This window comes from Homo sapiens, chromosome 14 (genome assembly GCF_000001405.40).
Source record: "Homo sapiens chromosome 14, GRCh38.p14 Primary Assembly".
NCBI lineage: Eukaryota > Metazoa > Chordata > Mammalia > Primates > Hominidae > Homo > Homo sapiens.
This window is the reverse complement of record NC_000014.9, coordinates 86110847-86130533: the sequence shown is the minus strand read 5'-3', so window position 1 is coordinate 86130533 and position 19687 is coordinate 86110847. Positions and strand designations below refer to the sequence as shown.

The 19687-nt window shown below is 35.5% G+C and overlaps 1 long non-coding RNA gene across 1 annotated transcript in view, besides 1 other annotated feature; it reads right to left on the bottom strand.

Moving 5' to 3' along the window:
* Positions 1–755: 755 nt before the first annotated feature.
* Positions 756–19687, bottom strand: part of LINC02328 (long intergenic non-protein coding RNA 2328) — a 195101-nt gene continuing 176169 nt past the window's right edge. Inside the window, exons 3-4 of the long non-coding RNA NR_110155.1 lie at positions 2418–2584; positions 756–1038 (exon numbers count right to left, since the gene is read on the bottom strand). This is a non-coding gene — a long non-coding RNA (long intergenic non-protein coding RNA 2328). The remainder of the gene's footprint in view (positions 1039–2417; positions 2585–19687) is intronic.
* Positions 14202–14703: an enhancer, noted in NCBI's record as "H3K27ac hESC enhancer chr14:86582175-86582676 (GRCh37/hg19 assembly coordinates)". NCBI's record gives its function as "activates a minimal SCP1, AML or CMV promoter by ChIP-STARR-seq in primed H9 embryonic stem cells {active_cell/tissue: H9 hESC(primed)}" and the evidence as "EXISTENCE:reporter gene assay evidence [ECO:0000049][PMID:30033119]".

Here is a 19687-nt window from a genome sequence, read left to right as displayed (position 1 = left end):
TATAATATGTCTCATATAATAAATTTCTGCAGTTAACAATGATAAATTACAAAACTCAGAGAAACCATACATAGCTTTGCTATTTTTATTTTATTTTATTTTATTTTATTTTTGAGACGTAGTCTCGCTCTATCACCGAGGCTGGAGTGCAGTGGTGCGATCTTGGCCCACTGCAACCTCCACCTTCTGGGTTCAAGAGATTCTCCTGCCTCAGACTTCCAAGTAGCTGGGATTACAGGCATGCACCACCACACCAGGCTAATTTTTGTATTTTTAGTAGAGACGGGGTTTTGCCATATCAGCCAGGCTCATCTCGAAGCTTTGCTATTTTAGCAACTTGTAAATATGTTCAAAATGCAAATATTAGAATTAATACAGGATACTGGATACAGGCTACACCAACCAGCAGCCATACCAAAAAAACCCTAAATTTGACACACACACACAAACCCAAAACACTGCTTATAATCAATGCAATGAGCCACAAAGATCAACATCGGCAGTCTAATTAGACAATTATAGTCTATTATTAAGTAGGAATATAAAACAATGCACATCTTATGGTTGTGAACAAATGCTTGATAATTTTTGAATTACTAAAACGTTAACCATTGAAATATATTTCTTTTAAGATTAAGAAGGAAAAGGCAACCTCATGTATTTTTAGCAAAGAATTTTGTTGCAGGACTTTTCCTTAGTTCAGCTAAAGATGGGGTCCTTGTTCCATGGTCATGAAAATTTAGGCTTGAAGACTATTTGAAGAGTGAGAAAAATGGGATTTATTAATTAGGCATAAAGGAAAAAAAGGGGAAACAGAGACTCTTAGTGAAGTGAGAGCCTGTGCTTCCTGCCCTTGGCCTTCCCTCCTCACAGATTAAATCCCAGATTCCACACAGGAAGAGGAGGGGCCAGGCTCCTCCCAGGTGCAAATGACCCGGACTTCTGTGGCTCCACCTCAGTGCTCAGGCAGATTGGAGTTTTGCCAGGGAACTCTTCCCCCCTGGATGTCTCAATTTGATCCTTTCTTCATTCTTTAATCTAAGATTAGAAACAGGCAAATATTTGAATCATTTTCATTCTTACATAATATATTAACTAACTTATTACTTAGCAAAAATAGAAAAAAAATGTATTGTTTACCTATGCAAATATAATTATGCATTTATATAACTCATAAAGCTTTACTCAACATGTCTATTTTTTTTTTATTTCTTTATTCTAGCAATCATTGAAATATAGCAATACTAGTTTAACTTTCAACAACTGAGAACACATCGACTTGTGCTAATCCTGATTAAAAACCTAAATTCATTTTCAATTAAAACAACCCGACTTTACTAAAGAATAATTACCACCTAAAAAAGGCACAGAAAAGGCCATTGTTTTGTGTTCTCAAATGTATTAAGCAACTCTTGATAATACGAAGAATTTAATGAGCCAATATGTGTGAAATCACTGTTTTAAAAGACAGGAATTTAAAATACTATGTTGAATTGTCATTCCAAGTAAAGCAAATGAGCTATCCACTTTGTTTTGTATGGCTTTTAGTTTAGTTTTTATTTGTGCCTTTTGAAGTAGGAAGGCAGTTTTTGCTAACCTGGTTTTATAGATGAGGATACTGAGAAATACAGTCATACAATTAATAATCTGTAGAGTGAGGGTCAATTACTGATGTTTGACCCTGAGCCCATTACTTTTTTAACAGACTTACATAGATTCAACTGAAATATAAATTCTCTTGATTTTGACTTTAATCTCACCCAATATTGGAGAAGTCCTTTATAGAATCTGAAGGCAGCAACAATCTCATTAACTAGCTCTGCAAGACAGAAAAGCTCCTGCGCAGTTTTCATGCTGATCAGAAACATGCTAACCAAAATAAAAAGCATCAAAAACAGAGGAGGGAAAATGGGAAGGAATAACAATAGAGTCAGTGGAAAAATAGCCCTATCTGGGAAGAGTTTTGAAGATCAAGTTCAATACTGGTGAGAAGTTGGTAGTACATAGGAATGATACAATTAGTGCTGCCCGGCCAATGTTTCTGTTAAGTTAGAAATGTTTTAAAAATTAAAATAATAATAATAACATGCTTGGTAGTTTAGAGGAGCTCTGTGTTTAATTGGCACATTTGATATATGTTGACATTATACCCAATATAAATATATATCTGGTGGGGTTGTATATGTTTGGGGAGATGAGGAGAAATCAATGGGCATATTTTTATAGCCAATATAAATATATATCTGGTGGGGTTGTATATGTTTGGGGAGATGAGGAGAAATCAATGGGCATATTTTTAAAGGCTAATTTGTGTTTTGTTTGTTTCCTCCAAACGGTGGAGGCAGTCAAAAGGCCACTGATCAAGGCCTTTGGGTAGTCTGCAGTTTAATTAAGACCAAATTACAAATTCTAATTACCTGGCACCAAAGAAGCCAATGTGTGAATGCTTGTCTAGAATAGAATACACTCTTCAAGGGCTTCTCTTCTTGGATTCAGCTAGTCTCTCATCAGAAAAGACATGAAAAGATTTTGTGTTAATCAATTTTCTCATCCTCGATGAATTAAAAATATAAATGATGCAAGTCTGAAAAACATAAAATGTAAGCCAGTTAAAACATTATCTTTATAAAGAAAATTGCATTTATAGTTGTAAATTGACTAATTTTATATTTAAGAAAGCAAAAGAAGGAAGATTAACATGTATTGACTATTATATTACCAAACATTTGGCTAGAAACTTAAGAGGTTCATTCTTTTATTAAAATAACACCACAAATGTATGCAGTAGGGATGAGAAAACTGAGTATGGGAGTAGACATGTATATTAAAAATTATTTAGCCAAGACTTACTTACATCCCAAAGACATCTACCTTCAACGCCCGTGATCCTTTTAACCTATCACCATCTTACATTCCTTTTCTCTTCTTTCTCCGTTCCATACGTAATAATTACAGTAATTGTGAATGAGTTTTTTTTATTTCCTTGAAGAAATAGAATCCATTCACGTCCACTCTTAACTAAATCAGTTTATATTGGGGTGAGGAGGGAAAGGAACACAGAGAGAGCTTAAAAAGGAAAGCTTTGTCTTTTAAATAGCAATTCCAAAACCATATGGATGCAGTCATTTAGCATGTAATCAAGATTCCTTTTGAAAGGTGACAAAATTATTTTATTAGAGTCAAATGATTACTTATATCATAGAAATATCATAGAATCAGAAATTATAGCTCACAAAATCCTTGATTTCTCTGGGGGCAGATTAGACCATAAACTCAGGTGCTCCTTCCCACTTATTCCAAGTTGTATTCTCCATTTCAACACTAATATCAAAGCTATTGTTACACTCTTAGTTTACAGTTTGTTTGTGTCACATTTTAAAAATATAAATGGTTAGGTGGCCACACGAATGAATGGGGCTTTGTAGTTGAGATTGTCACAAATGGCTCAAGCTGGAGAAAAAAGAAAACTGGATCCTTATCTAATACCACATTCAATGTTAAAATTACAATATATTCAATAGATTAAAGGTCCACAAGTGAAAAGTCAGACAACAAATTTAACAGAAGAAAAGATAGTGTAACACCTTGTGATATAGGAGTGAAGTAAGACTTTCTAAACAAAATCCACAAACACCGAACTATAAAAAATTCAATTACAATTCAACATGAAGAATTTATCTTAAACAAAAACACCATGAATAAAATCAAACAAGAGATGATAAGAGCTAATACCTATATAGTGTTTACTGTGTGCCAGAGAGTACTTATGCTCATTTTGCTGATGACTCAAAAAGAAAACCAACAAAAATCTAGTTAAGTAACTTGTCTAAGCTTACTTGGAAAGTAAATGAAGAATCCATATCCTTTACCACTATGCCATACATTTTCCCTCCGCCCAATTGAGAGAAATATTTGCAATATCAAAAAATATCAAGGACTGACTAAGAATATGCAAAGAGCTCCTGCAAATCATCATTATCAACAATAATCAGAAGAAAGATGAAAACAAATGAAAAATGAATAAAGGTTACATTAAAGCATTTGACAAAGCTGAAAGCATCAAAACAACAACAGACTCTAAACCACATTAGAAATGGAAAACTGTAAATTAAAACAAGCAGATATTGCTTTATGCTTCTTAAGCTCCCACATTTTAAACAGCTGGATAAGTCAAGTTGGTGTTGGAATATAAGCAGATGTTGAAATACAGGAACACTCTGTATTACTGGTGGGATTCAAGTCTGGTGCAACATTTTGGACAATTTACGGCACAATTTTGAGTAAATTGAAATATTTGCTTACACCTGGGTTTACATCCCAAAGAAATTCTCATATAGGCCCCTCGGGAGACATGAGTGTAGATATTAATCACAGTTTTATTTTGGAGAATGAGATGTTGTAAGTAGTGTGGTTGTCTATGACTGGGGAAATGTATTTGAAAAACGTGGTGGGTGCACATCATTGAGGATAATGCAGCAAGAGTAGATAGTGGTCATATAGACGTAGACAGAGCTAAAGAAGGAAACAATGGGGAGATGAAAAATAATAATAACAATGAGAAAGAGATAAAATCTACAATACAATACCATATTTATAAATTAAAATAATATGCACCACAAACAACAATAGACATGTTATAAAAGCATATATCAACAAAATGATGCATAGAAAATACTTCTGAAAAGTAAATGTTGTCTGAGAGTAGGGAATGAATTTAAAAATGAATAAAACATTCAGTCAACAAGAGATGGGTCTTGTATAGATCAATGTTGATAATTTTCCATGAAATGAGAGATGTAATTACTTCAAGCAGTTACACTCAAAGTCTAACAAAAATAGAAAGAAAAGGTAATTTTTTCATTGATGTTAGACATTAGATTAATAAGGTTTTATTAATCACCATGCAGTTTTTCTACATTATAATTTGCATTCTTCTTCTCAAAAATACCTGTAATAGAAATATTACTTGCCATTTACAGGTAAGAGAAGGTCTAAATATGAAATGATCTGCTAGGAACTGACAAAGCTAGAAGACAATCTCATGTACATCATGAGTTTCAAGAGTATACTTTTTTCACTTCATTTATGTAATACTTTCAAAAGGACTCATGTTCAGATTTTAGGAAATATAAAATAAGGTTTTATTACTGCAGGGCTGCAGGGCTTCCTAGTACCTTTAATATCCCAGTATCAAGAGTTTGTAACATTTCCAAGGAAAAACAGCACCACAGACATAAATACAACTCCCATTTAGCCAATCTGTTAAAAGAGCAGAACTTATTGGATGTAATGAAAAAAATAAAAAGCAAAAAACTTTTTTTTTCTTAATTCTGGCTACCATTCAAGCTCTCTTGAAACTGGTTTTCTCTTGCCCTCAGATAAAGTATCAGTTGAATCTCATAGCTTATGTCCTCTCTTGAGAAACTAAATATATATATATATTTATACATATATAATTACATATATATATATTTAAATATATATAATTACATATATATATATATATATATATTTTTTTTTTAGACAGAGTCTTGCTCTGTTACCCAGGCTGGAGTGCAATGGCGCTATCTCAGCTCACTGCAACAGTGCCTCCTAGGTGCAAGCAAGTCTCCTGCCTCAGCCTCCCGAGTAGCTGCGATTACAGGCACTTGCCCCATGTCTGGCTAATGTTTGTATTTTTATTAGAGACAAGATCTCACCATGTTGCCCAGACTGGTCTCGAACTCCTGGCCTTAAGTGATCTCCCTTGCCCCTCAACCCTGCCTTGGCCTCCCAAAATGCTGGGATTACAGACAGACATGAACCACTGTGCCCGGCCAAGAAATTAAAAAATATATCTAAGGTCAGTTATATTCACAAGAACGGTCTCAGTTTATTTATTAATTAATTTAATCCAATGTAATGATCAAAATAATCCAAACGTCTCTTAAACTGAAGCTCTTTCCTGCCCTCAGTGTGGTCTTGCTTTGAGCTGGCTGCCTGAACTGAGACTCTACATTTGACTTCCACATTCTTTCTTTCACTTTTAGTTTCTATCCAACATCACTGATTGAGGAGAAGAGAGTAAGAAGGACAGTTAAAGGGAGCAGGGACTACATGTAATGTTCCAGGTGAAACATGATAATGGTTACCACCTGGGCCAGATATCGTAAATATCTCTGGAATTATTACACTAGTCTTCCCCTCCACCTCTCTCTCCTACTTCCCATGCTCAACACAGAAGCTAGGGCGACCCATTTCAAGCATAAATCATGCCACTCATCAGCTCAGAATCTTCTAACTGCTCCCCACTTTCCGAGTATAAAAGCTAAAATCTTTGGAAGTCGATATATAATCTGGATGCTATCACCTTTCTCACTCAGCTTCTACAACCCCAGCCTCTGTCTCTTCAGTCTCCGTAAATGTTCACACCCTGAATGGCCTTCCTTGAACACATGACATCAAGTATAGCCAAAACTTGGACACTTAAGGGGAAGAGTTCAGTTATCCCTCAAATCGCAGGCTTCTTCCCACTACCACAGTCAGCCTCTCACCCTTAGATTTTTTTGGTCAACTTTTCACATGTTCCCCAGGACACATATTAATTTTTTTGGCCGGATCTTTTTGAAATTTGTCTTTCGTTATGCTTAAATGAAAGGGGTACAGTCCCTACTCATCCCTCATGGTGGTGAGAGGAATCATTCAAGTGGTGCAATATTCTCATTAATAATTTATTTTGTCAGCTTTATTTATGTATCATTGACAAGTAAAAATTGAATATATTCAAGGTGCAGAGTGTGATGATTTGATATATGTGTACATTGTGAAATAATTACCACAATCAAGTAATATTTCCTTCACTAATATAATATTGGATTATTAAAGATTCCTTCAATGTGCCTTAGGGATTTAAAAGAAAAAGACAATAAAATGTAGGCTCACAAATTATAGTTTATGCATTGATGTTCAATGTTAGATTTATTTATTCATTCAAATAATACTTCTAGAGGTCTCTATTATGATCCTAGCCCTATCCTGGGAGCTGATTATTTGTTACTCAAAAAAATTCACAGGAAGCTCACATTTTAGTTGAGAGTAGACAGAGAATAAGCCAGTAAACCTACTTGTAAGGAAAGAAGCCTTTCAGATGATGATAAGCACTTTAAAAAAATCAAGTGAAGTGAGTTGATTAAAAAATTACAGGGCATGCCTGAGAACTGAATTCAAGACATTTTAACTCTTTTTAAAATTAGAACATGCTCATATTGTATATAATGTATACATTAATTTCATACATATGTGTGTATATACATATATGCAGACACACATATATGCACATATGCATATATTGATTTTTCTTTATCTAAAAGTACATAGTATGAATGTCTATATATATTTTATATCATATACATGCAATTATTTAAATTTCTAAATAAATAATGTATCAATAATATTTTACACTATGTATATTTCCTAAGAGTTAAGTTGACTCACTTTTCTACTTCTATAAATTGACGACCTTTATAATGAATTTACACTTTTACAGACTGATGATTTTAGGAACAACTTACAATTTATAGGTATATGTTATTTTTAATCTTTCATCTTCATCTCTAGTTATGATGTCAAATAAATAAGTTACTGACTTAAACTTCTTGCCTTCTAATTTAAAGTATTATAAACTTAAAATGTTTCTCACTACACAGACACATATTTAAGGATACAGAGGAAAGTCTTGCTTATAGTGAACATTCTTTCAATTGAAATATAGATTCTCCATTTTTAACAGTAAGTAAAATGATATTCTGGCTCCAGGATATGTTTTATAATTCACTTCTAATGGCCTGTTAATCATGAGAATGTCTTCATTTTCTCAGCTTGTATCTTCTTTCTGTACCTTTTCCCCTCCAATCCCTCTAACTGACACCAAGACCAGGAAACTTCCAGGTTAGAAATTATTTTATCACTTAGTTTAAGCTTTCCGTGAATTTATTATTTCCATTTTCTTTTTTCATATATAATAAACACCATTTGAATTGCCATAATTCTACATTTTAGTATTCAGAAATGATTTAAGAGTTGGAATTTTTTTTCTCCTTCAGTAAATTTTAGAAGGAAAAAGAGTTATAATGTACGAACATCTTTCATCCACATAATAAATTATAAATTCACACATCTTTGAAAAATGTTCGGTTTCCTAGCAAAACAAATGTGTACATTAATACTCATCATAGAGTAACACACAACTACATTCCCTATGAAAAGAATCTTTATGTACTTTACAGAATTTATGAAGAGAAGTCCTTTTAAACACCACTGAATGATACCATCTGTGGTTGGAAGTACAACAGATATTCAGTATCGCATCACAAAGAAGGCAATATGAGTTGTAGCTCCGAAGTGTCTTGTATTCCTGGATAGTTAGAATATCTTTCTATAACCTTTTTTTTTAAACCGAGTAACACATATTTATTCTAAAATACAGATGTGATACAAGAAAAAATATTCATAATATCACCAAACAGAGATAACCATTTCTTTTGTATATTATCTTAATTGAAATGCTTAGTATTGTGCTTGGCATGTGATAACCATTCACTAAAAGGTAGCCATTATTATTAATAATATAAACAATATTTTCCGTAGAGTATAATATGTTAAGTAAAATTTTTATTAACTAAGATAACCATTGCTCTTTTTTGTAGGAATAATATAAATCAGGCATCTTAGATGTTTGGTGACCTTTAGCATTGTCTTTTATCTTAATGCATTTATTAATGACCAAAATATAAATGGCTGATAGCGAGCATTCAGTACGTACTAGGAGATATAATAAACAACATACATTTATGGTTTAATGTATTCTGTATTATAAAGTAGATCTCATTCATGTAGATATCGTGGTAGAAACAAAGACACAGAGAGATTAAGATCCTCAGTATTACACAGAAAATAATGAAGAAAGGAGCCAAAATCAAAATCCAAACAATGACTCCAGAGCCTATTGTCCCTTATACCATAAGGTATACTAATATGGTTATAGGCATAGGAAGCAGAGGAAGGAAGTGTTGATTGTGAAAGGCGCTCCAGTGTGTAAATGGGCTTCATCTGAAGACAGCCTTGGGAAACACATTATTTGAGCTGTACTTGAGACACATTGCTTATTCCAAAATATTAGTGTAAATATTTAGGTGAATAAAATCCAATATTCTATAATTCAAACTCATCTCTGCCTTCACTAGGTTATCCCCAAGATACCAGGGTGGCCATGATGACATGAGAAGAGGTTTTACCCTAGATGCCATAACTGATTCTGGCATAAACTAGCAGCTGAAGCTTGGGCAATGTGATTGATTGTCTTTGATGTACCCTAACATCCTCTATCCAGACAAAGTGAGGATAGAGCCTGCCATTGAATGACTATATACTATTTTAGGAAAAATAATTATTAGAACCCATTATCTACTACATTTTACCTGCAAATGCTGTATCTGATACTCATCAAAGCTGTGTCTTCTTCAAGACTCAGCTCAGATCCTTTATTCTCCGAGTTAAATGTTTTCAGTCTATTTCAATTCTCGTAAATGTCTCCATATCTGATTCTTATAACACTGTGTAATGTTTATTCAACTATTATGATCTTCCTTCTCTCAGTCCTTGGGTTGCTTTGAATTTCAATTTACCTCTTGCATTGCTATTTAACCAGGTAAAACTTTATTTTGCTTCCCAAAGTCTTCTGTGAGTATAACAATAACAAAAATTATGTTATATTTGTTTCTACACCAACATTATTGTCCCTAAAGTAGAAATTTAATATATAAATAAATATAAATTAATTAACATATAATTCATTCATTTAACATTGAAAATGAAATATTCTTATTGTTGCCTACCTCATTGAAGAGATACATTTATAGCTGTATGTGTCACTAGTACTAATCTGATGAGATGCAGCAGTTGTTTTTAGTGAATAATTTAATACATCCTAATTATAACACACTCAGACTTTGAAAATAGATTCATAAGAAAAAATCACTTTTACTAAACCAAAGTACTTTATTTTTCAAGTTTTGCTGTACTTCGGTTTGACAGCAATTGATTATAGGGAAAGCTATGAAAAACTGACAACAAATTCTCTTCCCCAAATTGAGTTAGGACTTTTCTTTTAAAATTAAAGATGGCAGAAACAAGGTTCCTCTCTGGATTCAGCATATATAATTGTGTCTAGGGTGACCTTGATTTCCCTGTCAAATTATATTTATCTTAAAATTTAACGATTCTCTTTGTCTTTAGAAACAATTTACAGTGGCCAGGAGTGGTGGCTCATGCCTGTAATCCCAGCACTTTGGGAGGCCGAGGTGGGTGGATCACGAGGACAGGAGATTGAGACCATCCTGGCTAACACAGTGAAACCCCATCTCTACTAAAAATATAAAAAATTAGCCGGGCGTGGTGGCAGCCTCCTGTAGTCCCAGCTACTCGGGAGGCTGAGGCAGGAGAATGGCGTGAACCTGGGAGGCGGAGCTTGCAGTGAACCTAGATCGCGCCACTGCACTCCAGCCTGGGCAACAGAGCGAGACTCCATCTCAAAAAAAAAAAAGAAAAGAAACAATTTACAGTTTAGCAGAAGTGAATTAATTTTAAAAAAGAGGGGAAATATAAACTGCAAAAAACAAAAAGCAAAACAAAACACTGATAGAAACTATGTGGATAAAATGGACAGGCTTATTCTTTACCACTCAGTTATCAAAAGGTTGATGCAACTGAAGGAAATTTTGATGTGAAAAATCATACAAATGATTCAACAAGTCCATGAATTGGTTCTTTGGAACAATAAATAAGGTAAACAGACTATCAATTAGACTAATAAAGATAAAAAGAGAGAAGATTCAAATAAACACAATCAGAAGTTACAAAGAGGACATTATCACCGACCTCACAGAAATACAAAAACCCTCACAGACTACTACGAACACCCCTTTGCACACAAGCTAGAAAACCGTAAGAGATGGCTACATTCCTGAAAACATACCTCTGAAGAGTGAACCCTGAAGAAATTGAATCCCTGAACAGATCAATAATATGTTCTAAAATTGAATCAATAATAAAAAGCTTACTAATCAGAAAAAGCCATGGACCAGATGGATTAATAGCCAAATTCTACCAAATGTAAAAAGAAGAGCTGGTACTATTCCTACTGAAACCATTCCAAAAAATTGAGGAGGAGGAACTCCTCAATAACTCATTCTATGAGACTAGCATAATCTTGATACCAAAACCTAGCTGAGACACAACAAAAAATAAAAACTTCAGGCCAAGATCCTTGATGAGTATCTATAGATATTGCATGGATTAATATCTATGCAAAAATCCTCAACAAAATACTAGCAAACTGAATCTAGCAGCACATCAAAACCTTAATCCACCATGATCAGGTAGGATTTATCCCTGAGATGCAAGGTTGGTTCAACATATGCAAATCAATAAATGTGATTTATCACATAAACAGAACTAAAAACAAAAACCACATGATTATCTCAATAGATACAGAAAAGGCTTTTGATAAAATTCAAAATCCTTTCATGTTAAAAAAAACCTCAACAAGCTAGTCATTGAAGGAATGTACCTCTAAATAATAACTTTGTCATCTATGGCAAACCCATAGACAACATCATACTTTATGGCCAAAAGCTAGATGCATTCCCCTTGAAAACTGGAACAAAATGGGAATGCCCTCTCACACCATTCCTATTCAACAAAGTACTAAAACTCCTAGCCAGAGTAATCAGGCAAGAGAAAGAAATGAAAAGCATCCAAATAGAAAAAGAATAAGTCGAATTATCTCTGTTTTCAGATGCTATGATTCTATACCTAGAAAACTTCATACTCTCTGCCAAAAAGCTCCTTGATCTGATAAACAACTTCAGCAAAGTTTCAGGATACAAAATTAATGTACAAAAATCAGTAGCATTTCTATACACCAATAAAATCCAAGCTGAGAGCCAAATCAAGAATGCAATCCTATTTACAATAGCCACAAAAAGAAAAAAATGCCTAGGAATACAGCTAACCAGAGAGGTGAAAGATCTCTACAATAATAATTACAAAACACTGCCCAAAGAAATCAGAGATGACACAAACAAATTGTGAAAACATCCATGCTGATGAGTAGGAAGAATCAATATAGTTAAAATGGCCATATTGCCCAAAGCAATTTACAGATTCAATGCTATTCCTATAAAACTATCAATGACATTCTTCACAGAACTAGAAAAAACTATTTTAAAATGCATAGGGAACGTAAAAGAGCCTGAATAGCCAAAGCAATGCTAAGCAAAAAGAAAAAAGCTGGAGACACCACATTACCAAACTTCTAACTATGCTACAAGGCTACAGTAACCAAAACAGCACAGAACTGGTACAATAACAGACACATGGACTGATGGAACAGAATAGGGAGCCCAGTAAAAATGCCACACACCTATAACCGTTTGATCTTCAACAAAGTTGACAACAAGTAGTGGAGAAAGGGCTCCCTATTCAATAAATGGTGCTGAGATAACTGGCTAGCCATAGGCAGAAAATTGAAACTGGACCCCTTCCTTTCACTGTATGCAAAAATCAACTCAAGAGGGACTAAAGACTTAAATGTAAAATGTAAAACTATAAAAACCCTGGACAATAACCTAGGAAGTACCATTCTGTACATAAGATCTGCCAAAGATTTCATGATGAAGATGCCAGAAGCAATTTCAACAAGCCAAAAATAAACAAATGGGACTTAATTAAACTAAAGGACTTTTGCACAGCAAAAGAAACTATCAACAGAGTAAACAGGCAACTTACAGAGTGGGATAAAATATTTGCAAACTATGCATCCAACAAAGGTCAAACATCCAGAATCTATAAGAAACTTAAATTAACAAGCAAAAAACGACCCCATTAAAAAGTAGGCAAAGGGCATGAACAGATAAAAGAAGACATACAAGCAACCAACAAACATATGAAAAAATGCTTAACATCACAAATCACACCAGTCAGAATAACTGTTATTAAAAATTCAAAAAACATAATAAAGGTGCTAGTGGGCTTGCAGAGAAAAGAGAATGCTTATACACTGCTGGTGGGAATGGAAATTAGCCATTGTGGCAAGCGGTTTGGTGATACATTAGTCTGTTTTCACACTACTATAAAGAACTACCTGAAACTGGGTAATTTATAAAGAAAAGAGGTTTAATTGACTCACAGTTCTGCAGACTTAACAGGAAGTATGACTGGGAGGCCTCAGGATACTTGCAATCATGGCAAAAGGGGAAGGGGAAGCAAGGACCTTTTTCACATAGAGACAGGAGAGAGAGAGAGAGAAGAAAGGGGGATGTGCCACACACTTTTGAAACATCAGATCTCCTGATAACTCACTCACTATCATGAAAACAGCAAGGGGGAAATTCATCCTTGATCCAATCACCTCCCACCAGGGCCCACCTCTAATTTGACTTGAGCTTTGGGCAGGGACAAAAATCTAAACCATATCATTCCACCTTTGGCCCCTTGCAAATTTCATGTCCTTCTCACATTTTTAAATACATTTATTCATTCTCAACAGTCCCCCAGCCTTAACTCATGTCAGCATAAATAAAAAGTCTACAGTCCAAAGTCTCATCTGAGATAAAGTAAGTCCCTTCAACCTATGAGTCTGTAAAAGCAAAAGCAAGTTAATTACTTCCAAGATACAATGTGAGTACAGGCATTGGGTAAATGCTCCCATTCGAAATGGGAGAAATTGGCCAAAACAAAGGAACCACAAGCCCCATGCAAGTCCGAAACCCAGCAGGGCAGTTATTACATCTTAAAGCTCTAAAATAATCTCCTTTAACTCCATGCCTCACATCCAGAAAATGCTGATGCAATAGCTGGGCTCCCAAGGCCTTGGGCAGCTCTGATGCCATGCTTCTGCAGGGTACAGCCCCTGCAGCTGCTTTCACATGCTGGGGTTAGTTCCTGCAGCATTTCCAGGCACACACTGCAAGCTGTTGGTGGATCTACCATTCTGGGGTCAGGGTATTAGTGGATCTACCATCCTGGAGTTTGGAGTACGGTGGCCCTTTCCTCACAACTCTGCTAGGAAGTGCCCCAGTGGGAACTTCGTGTGGGGGCTCCAACCCCACATTTCCCCTCCACACTGCCCTAGTATAGGTTCTCCATGAAGGCTCTGCCTCTACAGCATATTTCTGCCTGAACATCCAGGTGTTTTCATACACCCTCTGAAATCTAGGTGGAGGTTGTCAAACTCTTTCCTTCTGCACACCCAGAGGCCCAACACCATGTGGAAGCCACAAAGGCTTGTGGCTTCACCCTGTAAAGCCACGGTTCAACCTGTACCTTGGCCTCTATTAGCCACAGCTGGATTTGGAGCAGCTGGGACTCAGGGCACCATGTCCTGAGGCTGCACAGGCCTGGCCCACAAAACCATTTCTCCCTTCTAGAGCAGGGGCAAAATGCCACCAGTCTCTTTGCTAAAGTATAGCAAGAGTCACCTTTATTCCAGTTCCCAACAAGTTCCTCATCTCCATCTGAGACCACCTCAGCCTTGACTTTTTTGTCTATATTACTATCAGTATTTTGGTCAAAACCATTAAACAAATCTCTAAAAGTTCCAAACTTTCCCACATCTTTTTGTCTTCTTCTGAGCCCTACAAACTTTTCCAACCTCTGCCAATTACCCAGTTTCAAAGTTGCTTCCACATTTTCAGGTATCTTTATAGGAATGCCCCACTCTTCTGGTACCAATTTTCTGTGTTAGTCTGTTTTCACACTGATATAAAGAGCTACCTGAGAATGGGCAATTTATGAAAAAAAAGAGGTTCAACTGAGTCACAGCATCATAGGCTTAACAGGAAGTATCACTGGAGGGCCTCAGGACACTTACAATAATGGCAGAAGGCAAAGAGGAAGCAAGCACCTTCTTCACATGGTGGCAGGAGAGACTGAGAGTGACATGAGAAGTGCCAAACACTTTTAAACCACCAGATCTCGTGAAAACTTACTTTCACAATAACAGCATGGAGAAATCTGCCCCCACAATACAATTACCTTCCACCAGACCCCTCTCCTGACACATGGGGATTACAATTTAACATGAGGTTTGGTTGAGGACACAGAGCCAAACCAAATCAGGTGATTTCTCAAAGAACTTAAAACAGAATTACCGTTCAACCCAGCAATCCTGTATCTATATCTATATCTATGTCTATATCTATATATCTATATTTATCTATCTACTGATCTATCTCTCTATCATCTATAAGTAGATAGATATCAGTAGATATATAGATTGATAGATACACACACACACCATATATATATATGATATATATATATATAGATGATACACATACACACCATATATATATATATCTTTATGGTAGAACAATTTATATTCCATTGGGTGTGTATATATATATATATGTATATATATGTATACATGTATATATATGTATATATATGTATACATGTGTATATATATGTATACATGTGTATATATATGTATATACACATGTATACATATATATATATATACACACACCCAATGGAATATAAATTGTTCTACCATAAAGATGCATACACGCATATGTTCATCACCCCACTATTCCCAATAGCAAAGACATAGAATCAACCCAAATGTCCATCAACTGTAATCTGGATTAAAAAAAAATAGTACATATACACCATGGAATAGTAGGCAGCCATAAAAAGAATAAAACTATGTCTTTTGTAGCAACATGGATGGAGCTGGAGGATGTAATCTTAAGCAAACTAAGACAGGAACAGAAAAACAAATACTGCGTGTTCTGACTTATAGGTGAGAGTTAACCATTGAGTCCACATGGACACAAAGAAGGGAACAGACACTGAAGCCTACTTGAATGTTAAGGGTGGAGGAAGTTGAGGATCATAAAACTACCTATTTGATACTATGCTTGTTACCTGGGTGACAAAATAATCTGTACACCAAACCCCCATGACATGCAATTTATTTGTATAACAAATCTGCATGTGTACTCCTGAACCCAAAATAAAAGTTAAAAATAAGGTTAATGCATCAACCATTCTCACTTCTAGAAGTATAATATTTTTGCGACTTCGAGTCACCTAAATTTTTGCTTATCTTGACACTGAATAAAACAAATCATCTCAGGGTTTGAAGGTCTCATACCTCAGATATGAGGCAATCACCTTGTAAGTTTGAATCAGCTCCTTAAGGACACTTAGGGGTTAAGGAAGCAGCTTGGCATGATGACAGTGCCACTATAGTGGGAACTGTTTTGGAATCAATTGTTAACCTCAGATCTTCAGTTTTCACCATGCCACTCTAGGAGTACAGTGGGATTCAGCGACTGATGATGGTGAGGAGGAGGAGGAGGATGTTGATATTTTGAGGTAATATATAAGACATGGATGTAACACAAGAACTTCTGTCCCCTTATTAAGGACCACAGCACTTCAGCATTTTGGCACAAAAAACTTCGTCAAGGAATTCAACTTCGAAACATAATAAAAATGTGAATCATATTCGTGAAATAAAATTTTAAAAAATTGTATTAATATCAGCAGGTTGATCTTCATCCACTAGCACTGAATTCATTCACTGATTTCTAATGTTTTCTATTTTCATCAATTTTGTGTGTTCCTTTTATTCTTCAATTTTTAAGTTGTCTAGTTCTAGTTCTGTTAATTAAGACTATAGGTAAACACTGTAAGGAGGCACAAGGGAACTTTGTTGGGGAGGAAAATATTTTATAACTTGCTTGTGGTACTGGTGATGTGCTGTGAACATCTGTGAAAATGCATTGAACTGTATGCCTTAAAAGGTGACTCTTACTGTACTTCAATTATGCCTCAATAAATCTGATGCTGGAAAGTTACAATATCAAAAATATATGTATTTCAGTTACTTGTGTCTGTGCTCTTACATATCCTCCAACATAAATTTTATTAATTTCTTAAAATTTTGTGTATTTTACAACATTTATAATATCACATTTTCTCAACTCACTTATACTATGTTTGCAATGCATTGGCAGATTTTTTACAACATCCGTGAAGCATCACCAGTGAGAGCTATATTAACAATTATTGGTCAGATAATCAAGAGGGATAAATGCCTGGTAGCTTTCAAATTTTCAGTTACTACTCAGATGTCCAGAAATATATTTTTCCTAATTTTCTGGTAAGTAACTACAAGTAATTCTGTATTTTACTAATGACTCAGATTAATGGCATTTCAAGGGAATTCAATAATTCCAAATTCAATATACAGTCGCTTTTTTGTAAAAGTATTAATCAAATTTAACATATTTCTTGCCCCTTTTCTTTACCTGTCCCCCAAAGGTGATCAATTTTACTGAAATTGGTGGGAGAGGCTATCAGAAGAGAGAAGGGAGAGAGCAGGAAATTGATACTGTTCTGAAATCAGTTTTCATGCCATCCTATGTTCTTCCTGACATCTACTGTCTTATATTTTATTTCATTGGAGTATCCTGTGCCGGCATCAGTTGAAGTGATAGTGTTTTGATAGTGTTTGAGCATTCTGCACTGGTGTCAGTTACTGGTGTCAATGGTCCCTGTTGTGGCCCTCAGTAGTGACTGTGAGCTCCATGTCTTCCGTGTCCTCTTAGTCCCACCCTCTTCTGAGATACACTCCCTCCCAATTCTTCCTACTGTCCCATTTTTTCAGGAGCTTAGAAATTATTGGCTACATTTGCCTGTACAAAGTTAGAGTATGTATACATTCTTTGAGACTATTCACTTAGACACACTAGATGTGAATTTTATCACCAAGATACCATGTTGCTCTGGGATCTTGGTGAATATCAAGATTTCCACTAAGTCTGCAGTCTTAATACCACAGATGGAAAACATTAACAATCCTCACCCCATCTTTTCCTTGGAAGGGGGCTGGCTAGCTAGCCCCTTTCGTAGGTGCCTATCCACCTGCAACTATGATTCCTCTATCATGGATGGTGGTTGTAAAGGTTAAAACCAGAGTTTTGAAATACTTCCAAATACTTTTACGTTTTTCCATTGGTAACATATTTTACCATTCCCGTCATTGCACTACATAGGCAGCCTATAGTTCCTCGTTTCACAGTGGATGGACTTCTTACAATTTTACAAGTAGTTAATTAATCAGTGTATTTGATTTAAAATTTTGCTTTCTTTGTGTTTAAAATGTAACTTATAAGATAATTGGTTATCTGAAAGACACCAGTTTAGGAGAGCAAATTTTATTTGTTTTTACTGGAAATATATTTACCTTTAGTGTCCTAGGAATATAAAACTCAATGAATTATTACACATGAAACATACATTTTAACAACCAAGGGTATATTTTTATTCTGATGAATGTTGTGTTCTTTGTAATCTCATAACTCTGTCCTGGTAGATTGACAAATACAACAGTAAATTAATTGCAGATATATGAAACTTGCCTTTCCTTTAAAAAATATGTTAATAATATAAAGAATGATAGAAATATTTGTCTTCAGTATTTCATATTCCATTCAAATTTGAAGTTTACTTTGTTTTTCTTATGGATTTTCTGCATTATTATATTTCCATGATATTGAAATATTGATATTCGACAAAATATTCTATAAAAAGTTTCATAGGTGTTAAATAACATTTCTGAAATATTTTGAAGCAACTTTATTCAGCACATTAAAATATTTTGAAAATGTCTGTAGGTTGCACCCTTTATCAATATAAAATGACTCATCATTGTCCCTTTGAGTGGTATTTCTTTGAATTTAATTTTATATGATGTTGATATTGTATGGCAAACACTACTATATTTGCATTTCCTGAATATATATTTTTTCACCTTTAACATTTTTTGTCTATGATTTTGTTTTACTTCTACAAACAGCATAACTGTTTTTATGTGTCCTTATATGAATGGTACTATTAAAACTTTAAATCCATTATATTTATTATTCTGCCTGGTATATTTGACTATTTGGCATCTTATTTTTTTTCTCCTCAAGAATTTCCTAAATCAAGGAGCCAAGATGGCCAAATAGGAACAGCTCCAGTCTACAGCTCCCAGCGTGAGTGACGCAGAAGACGGGTTATTTCTGCATTTCCATCTGAAGTACCAGGTTCAACTCACTAGGGAATGCCAGACAGTGGGCGCAGGTAAGTGGGTGCGCGCACCCTGTGCCAGCCGAAGCAGGGCGAGGCATTGCCTCACTTGGGAAGCGCAAGGGGTCAGGGAGTTCCCTTTCCGACTCAAAGAAAGGGGTGACCGACAGCACCTGGAAAATTGGGTCACTCCCACCCAAATACTGCGCTTTTCCGACGGGCTTAAAAAACAGTGCACCACGAGATTATAACCCGCACCTGGCTCGGAGGGTCCTATGACCACGGGAGTCTCACTGATTGCTAGCACAGCAGTCTGAGATCAAACTGCAAGGCGGCAGCCAGGCTGGGGGATTGGCGCCCGCCATTGCCCAGGCTTGCTTAGGTAAACAAAGCAGCCAGGAAGCTCGAACAGAGTGGAGCCCACCACAGCTCAAGGAGGCCTGCCTGCCTCTGTAGGATCCACCTCTGGGGGTAGGGCACAGACAAACAAAAAGACAGCAGTAACTTCTGCAGACATAAATGTCCCTGTCTGACAGCTTTGAAGAGAGCAGTGGTTCTCCTAGCA